We start from the raw sequence: 7577 nt of genomic DNA, 5'->3' as shown, positions 1-7577 counted from the left end.
CTCTTACTATGATATTCAAAAGGTCCAGGTTTCAATCGCAATTTACTTGTCATATGAGAACCAAAAAAAAAAAAAAAAACCACAATTTGAATGCTGAACGATAATCAACAGACACAAACAAGAAGATGACAAATATACTAGAATTATCTGACAAAGATTTTAAAACAGTCTTCATAAAAAGGATGCTTTAGGCCAGGCACGGTGGCTCACACCTATAATCCCAGCACTTTGGGAGGCTGAGGCCGGCAGATCACGAGGTCAGGAGATCGAGACCATCCTCGCTAACACAGGGAAACCCCATCTCTATTAAAAATATAAAAAATTAGCCCGGCATGGTGGCAGGCACCTGTAGTCCCAGCTACTCAGGAGGCTGAGGTAGGAGAATGGCATGAACCCGGGAGGTGGAGCTTGCAGTGAGCAGAGATCGTGTCACTGCTCTCCAGCCTGGGCAACAGAGCGAGACTCTGTGAAAAAAAAAAAAAAAAAGATGCTTTAACATAAATTATAAACACACTTGAAACAAATAAAATTAAAAAGTGTGAATAAAGAAATAGAAAATGTAAAGAAGAACCAATTAGAAATTTTAAACTTGAAAAATAGAAAAGAACACTAAAAGAACCAAATAACAGAACTCAAGTGATAGCCTCATTAGCAGGAAAGAGAAAAGACTAAGTGAAATTGAAGACAGGATAATAGAAATTCCCCAATTTAAATAAAAGAGAGAGGAAATAGACAAAAAATAAAGAAACAGAGCTTTGGATATCTGTGAGATGTTTTAAAAAGATTTAATATTTGTATTATTAGCATTATGGACAGAGAGGAGAAAGAGGTTGAGGCTGAGAAGGTACTCAAAGAAATAATGGCTGAAAATGTTCCAAATTTGTGAAAAGACAAATATTTACACATTCAATAACCTGAGCCAACCCCAACCATGATACAAAAGTCCACATCAAGGCAAATCATAATCAAAATCCTGAAAGTTAAAGACAGAGAAAATTATTGTACACAGCAAGAATTGACACATAAGAGAGAAAGTTTTAAGGATAGAAGCTTTATGGCCAGGTGCGGTGGCTCACACCTGTAATCCCAGCACTTTTCGAGGCCGAGGAAGGCAGATCACTTGAGGCCAGGAGTTTGAGACCAGCCTGGCCAACATGGTGAAACCCCTTCTCCACAAAAAATACAAAAATCAGCTGGGCATGGTGGTGGGCACCTGTAATCCCACCTACTCAGGAGGCTGAGGCACAAGAATCTCTTGAACACGGGAGGCAGAGGTTGCAGTGAGCTGGGATCATGCCACTGCACTCCAGCCTGGGCAACAGAGCAAGACTTTGTCTCAAAAAGAAAAATAAATAAAAAATAAATAAAGACAGCAGATTTATTAATAGAATCTACAAAGGCCAGAAGGAAGTGGCACACCATTTTTCAAATGCTGAAAAAAAGGAAACATCAAACATTCTTCAGAAATGGAAAGGAAATTAAGACTTTCTGAGATGAAGGAAAGCTAAGCAAATTTATCAGCAGCTGACCGACACTAAAAGAATGGCTAATGAAGATTTCTTAAACAAAAGAGAAAGGATAAAATTAGATCTTGGAACATCAGTGTGTTAGGCCATTCCTGTATTGCTATTAAGAAATACCTGAGACTGGGTAATTTATAAGAAAAATGTTTAATTAGCTCACGGTTCTGCAGGTTTCACAGGAATCATAGTGGCCAGGATCTGCTTTTGGGGAGGCCTCAGGGAGCTTTTACTCATGGCAAAAGCTGGAGCAAGGGAGTGGGGAGAGGGAGGCACTGCACACTTTTAAACGCCCAGATTTCCTGTGAACTCAGAGTGAGTGCTCACTTACCACTAAGGGGATGGCCCAAGCCACTCATGGGGGATCTTCCCCCATGATCTAATCACCTCCCACCATGCCCCACCTCCAATATTGGGGATTATAATTCAACATGAGATTTGGATGGGGACAAATATGCAAACTATATCAACCAGGAAGAAAGAAAGAGCCATGAAAAATGTATATTGAGGTATGCAGCAAAATGTAGGTAAATACAAGAGACTTTCCAACTACTCTTGAGTTTTCCAAATTCTGTATGACATTTGTAACAAAAATGTTAACACTGTCAGATATGGTTCTCAAAATATGTAGAAGAAATAGTTAAAACAATTATACTATGAATGCAGGAAGTTTAATGCATGTAAAATAAGGTAAGGTTTCCATACTTCACTTGAACTGGTAGAACGTGTGTGCCTGTAGTCTGTGCAAAGCTGCACACACATAAAATATGGCACTAAGAGAAATCAGTGAAAATATTATAGAAAGATATACTCAAAAACACTATGCATAAGTAAAAATAAAAATGTTCACATAACCCACAGAGAGACAGAAAAATAAAATGGAGAAAAACACCGGGTGTTGTGGTACATGCTTGAATCCCAGCATTTTTGGAGGCCAAGGTGGCGGATGGCTTGAGCCCAGGAGTTTGAGAACAGCTTGGGCAACATGGTGAAACCCTATCTCTACAAAAATTAGCTAGGCATGGTGCCCATAGTCCCAGCCCAGCTACTTGGGAGGCTGAGGTGGGAGGATCACTTGAGCCCTGGAGGTTGAGGCTATAGTGAGCTGTGATAGTGCCACTGCATTTCAGCCTGGGTGACAGAGTAAGATGCTGTCTCAAAAAAAAAACAGAAACAAAAACAAAACAAAAAAACAAACAAGAAAAAACCCGAACAAACAAAAATAGAGAAAAAAAGAGAGAAAACAAAAATTAAATACAGACATTAGCCCCAACCTATCAATAATTACATTGAACCTAAATGTTCCAAATATAACAATTAAAAAAACAGAAATGAACAAAGTTGATTAGAAAACCAAACATGAGGCTGGGCGCAGTGGCTCACGCCTGTAATTCCAGCACTTTGGGAGACTGAGCAGGTGGATTGCTTTGAGTTCAGAAGTTCAAGACCAATCTGACCAAAATGGTGAGAACTTGTCTCTACTAAAAGTATAAAAAGTAGCCGGGCATGGTGGTGCATGCCTATAAACCCGCCTACTTGGGAGACTGAGGCAGGAGAATCATTTGAAACCAGGAGGCAGAAGTTGCAGTGAGCTGAGATGGTGCCATTGCACTCCAGCCTGGACAACTAGAGTGAAACTCCATCTCAAAAAAAAAAGAGAAAAGCAAACATGACCTAACTATATCTTCTCTTCAAGAAACTCACTTCAAATATAACAATATAAATAGGCTAAAAGTGAAAGGATAGAAAAGATACACCATGAAAACATTAATCAATCAAACTAGGATTCACTGTATAAAATCAAACATTTGTTGTTTTTTTCCATAGGCTATTGGGGAACAAGTGGTATTTGGTTACGTGAGTAAGTTCTTTAGTGGTGATTTGTGAGATTTTGGTGCACTCATCACCTGAACAGTATACACTGCACCATATTTATAGCCTTTTTTCCCTCTCCCTGCTCCCACTCTTGCCCCAAGTCCCCAGAGTCCATACTAGCATTCTTATGCCTTTGTGTTCTCATACTTAGATCCCACATCAGTGAGAATATACGATGTTTGTTTTTCTATTCCTGAGTTACTTCATTTAGAATAATAGTCTCCAATCTCACCCAGATCACTGCAAATGCTGTTAATTTATTCCTTTTTATGGCTGCATGGTATTCCATCATATATACGTATACCACAGTTTCTTTATCCACTCATTGATTGATGGGCGCTTGGGTTGTTTCCATGATTTTGCAATTGTGAATTGTATCTTTTTCAAATAATGACTTATCTTCCTCTGGGTAGATAACCAATGGTGAGATTGCTGGATCAAATGGTAGTTCACTTTTAGTTCTTTAAGGAATCTCCACATTGCTTTCCATAGTGGCTGTACTAGTTCACATTCCCACCAGCAGTGTAGACATGTTCTCTGTTCACCACATCCACACCAACATCTACTGTTTTTTGATTTTTTGATTATGGCCATTCTTGCAGGAGTAAGGTGGTATTGCATCACGGTTTTGATTTACATTTCACTGATAATTAGTGATGTTGAGCATTTTTTCATATGTTTTTTGGCCATTTGTATATCTTCTTTTGAAAATTGTCTTTTCATGTCCTTAGCCCACTTATTGCTGGGACTGTTTTTTCCTTACTGATTTGATTGAGTACATGGTAGATTCTGGATATTAGTCCTTTGTCAGATGCACAGATTGTGAAGATTTTCTCCCATTCTGTGGGGTTGTCTGTTTAGTCTGCTGATTGTTCCTTTTGCCATGCAAAAGCTCTTTAGTTTAATTAGGTCCCAGCTATTTATCTTTGCTTTTATTGCATTTGCTTCTGGGTTCTTGGCCATGAAATCCTTGCCTAAGCCAATGTTTTTCCATGTTATCTTCTAGAATTTTTATAGTTTCAGGTCTTAGGTTTAAGTCCTTAATCCATCTTGAGTTGATTTTTGTATAAAGTGAGAGATGAGGATCCAGTTTCATTCTAGTACATGTGGCTTGCCAATTATCCCAGCACCATTTATTGAAAAGGTGTCGTTTCCACAGTTTATGTTTTTGTTTGCTTTGTCAAAGATCAGTTGGCTGTAAATATCTGGGTTTATTTCTGGGTTCTCTATTCTGTTCCATTGGTCTATGTGTCTATTTTTATAACAGTACCATGCTGTTTTGGTGACTAAAGCTTTATAGTATAGTTTGAAGAATACTTCAAACTGTACTATAGAATAGCATACTATAGTGTGATGCTTCCAGATTTGTTCTTTTTGCTTAGTCTTCCTTTGGCTATGCAGGCTTTTTTTGGTTTCATATGAATTTTAGAATTGTTTTCTCTAATTCTGTGAAGAATGATGGTGGTATGTATTTTGATGGGGATTGCATTGAATTCGTAGATTGCTTTTCGCGGTATAATCATTTTCACAATGTTGATTCTACTCATCCATGAGAACTGCTTGAACCCAGGAGGCAGAGGTTGCAAGGTTGCAGTGAGCCAAGATCATACCATTGCACTCCAGCCTGGGCGATAAGAGCGAAACTCTGTCTCAAAAAAAAAAAAAAAAAAAAAAAAGGAAGAAATTGGTTCATTTCTTTTTTCTTTTTCTTTTTCTTTTTTTTTTTTTTTTTTTTTTGAGATGGGGTCTCACTCTGCCACCCAGACTGGAGTGCAATGGCATGATCTCTGCTCACTGCAACCTCTGCCTCCTGGGCTCAAGCAATTCTCCTGCCTCAGCCACCTAAGTAGCTGGGATTACAGGTGCCCACCACCATGTCTGGCTAATTTTTGTGTTTTTAGTACAGACAGGGTTTCACCATATTGGCCAGGCTGGTCTTGAAAGGTGATCCACCCGCCTTGGCCCCCAAGTGCTGGGATTACAGGCGTAAGCCACTGCGCCTGGCTGAAATGGACCAATTTATTGAAAAGCATAAACTACCACAACTCACTTAATATAAAAAAGATAGTTGAATATTCTTATAACTATTTAGGAAATTGAATTGTTATCTAGGGGCCAAGGGGAATCTTTCCTTCTCTAAAGATTAACTAGAAATGAACCTATAATAAGGCAGATTAATAGGAGAAAAAGGCATACAAATATATTCAATGTACATAAGCACTGCAGAATTTCAGGACAATTACCCAATAACCCAATGAGGTACCGATACTTATATATCCATCTTGACAGGGTAAGGAGATATGGGAGAAATGTGGCCATCTTGAGGAGTTAGTAGATGATATTTTTAGGGGGAATAAATAGGCCCAATGTTCAGACAGTGGTTAGTAAACAATTCTCTTTGAAAACTGAATGGGACTTAAGAACAGATGATAACGTGTGACAAAGTTTATCTGAGCTCCAAGTATGGTGTTTAATTTTCAGTTTCTTTATCTGTGATTTGAGTTTTCATCTTCTCTGGTTAAGGAAATTTCAGGGAATGGACTAAATGCAATTGTATTTCTCTCTGGCAGGCCCAGTTCCTAGGTAGATAAGGGAACTTTAAAGAACAGCCTCATCCTGTGCTTCCCGGAAGACAGAGGATTGAAAGACAGGAGGACGGGGGAAAGGTCACCAAAACCTTGAGGCTTTTTCCACAGTTCTTCATGTCCAGCTGCCATATTTTGGGGTGCTGTTTTCTGAGCCCTAAAAGTTATACAAAAAAAGAAAAAACTCCCAAATAGAAATCTCTAGGCTTAGATGGTGTTACTAAAAAGTTCTACCAAATATTTACAGAATAATTAATCCAAATTCTATACAACCTGTTCCAGAAAATAGAAGAGAAAACATTACTCAATTATTTAATTATTTTATAAATCTTATGTTAATCTGAAACCGAAACCAGACAAGACAGTACCAAAAAAGAAGCAAATACAAACCCCCAAAACTACAGACCAATATCCTTTATAGATATAGATGCAAAAATCCTTAACAAAATATTAGCAAAAAGAATTTACCAATATATAGAAAGAATTATATACCTTGACCATACAGTGATGCAAGGTTGGTTCAATGTTTGAAAATCTATGTAATTCACCATATTAATAGGTGAAAGATGAAAAATCACAAAGCTATGTAAATTGTTGCATAGAAAGATTTGACAAAATTCAACACCTGTTCATGATTACAGCTCTCAGAAAGGTAGGAATAATAGGGAACTTCCTCGACTTTATAAAAAATATTGACAAAACCTATATCAAACATTATACCTAATGGTGAAAGGTTGTGATGATTAATTTCATGCATCAACTTGATTGGCCAGGAGGTGCCCGGATTTAACCTTATTTCTGAGTATGTCCATGTGGGTGTTTCGGGGCGAGGTTAGCATTTGAATTGGTAGATTTCATAAGGTAGATTGCTCTTCCCTGATGTGGGTGGACATCATCCAGTCCACTGAGATCTTAGCAAAAGGTAGAGAATGGCAGAGTTCACCCCTTTTGCTTCTTACCTGCCTGTGACTTTTCCTAGCAGCTTTATTTATAATAGCCCAAAACTGGGAACAGGAAACATGCCCCACAATAGCTGGGTGATTAAACAAATTGTGCTACATCAATATCATGGAATATTACCCAGCAATGAAAACAAATTTACTATCATTACTTCAATAGCTTTGATGGATCTCAAGGGCATTATGCTGAGTAACAAAAGCCAATTTCCAAATGTCACATAGCAGGTGATTCTATTTGGTCGGTTGTCAGAGTCATAGAGCCACTTAGCTAGGTAAAACACCGGGATCAGAGTTGGGAAATATTTTATTTCTTTTATGTTAGATTGCTTTAGGAAATGGACTTTGCATGGATATTCAAAATCAAATCTTCAAAAATTTCAAATCTTCAAAATCTTCCATGTGGTTATTCATGGACCATGGACTTTCTTTGTAGTCTTGTCTTGTTCCTCCTTCAGTGTGAGTCAAATATTGAACGATGCAGGTGCTTCTGTCTGTCTTTTCTGCTTTCATCTGGTTGACCCTGTATCCCAAGAGGACTGGGTCATGCAGCTCAAAACATGACCTATTCGGCAGACTATAGATAGAGCAGATTTTCTTAGAAAGGAATGTGAGCAGGGCAGGAAATGATCGATGTGGCC

The 7577-nt window shown here is 38.2% G+C and overlaps 1 annotated feature.

Annotated features, from left to right (window-relative positions):
• Positions 336-508: a silencer, noted in NCBI's record as "fragment chr8:39908434-39908606 (GRCh37/hg19 assembly coordinates)". NCBI's record gives its function as "represses an EF-1alpha promoter that drives an FKBP-Casp9 reporter gene in an ReSE screen in K562 erythroleukemia cells {active_cell/tissue: K562}" and the evidence as "EXISTENCE:reporter gene assay evidence [ECO:0000049][PMID:32094911]".

The sequence above is a fragment of the Homo sapiens genome, chromosome 8, assembly GCF_000001405.40.
Source record: "Homo sapiens chromosome 8, GRCh38.p14 Primary Assembly".
In the NCBI taxonomy this organism is placed as follows: domain Eukaryota; kingdom Metazoa; phylum Chordata; class Mammalia; order Primates; family Hominidae; genus Homo; species Homo sapiens.
Note: the sequence above shows the minus strand (reverse complement) of the source record. Positions and strands in the feature narration are given on the sequence as shown.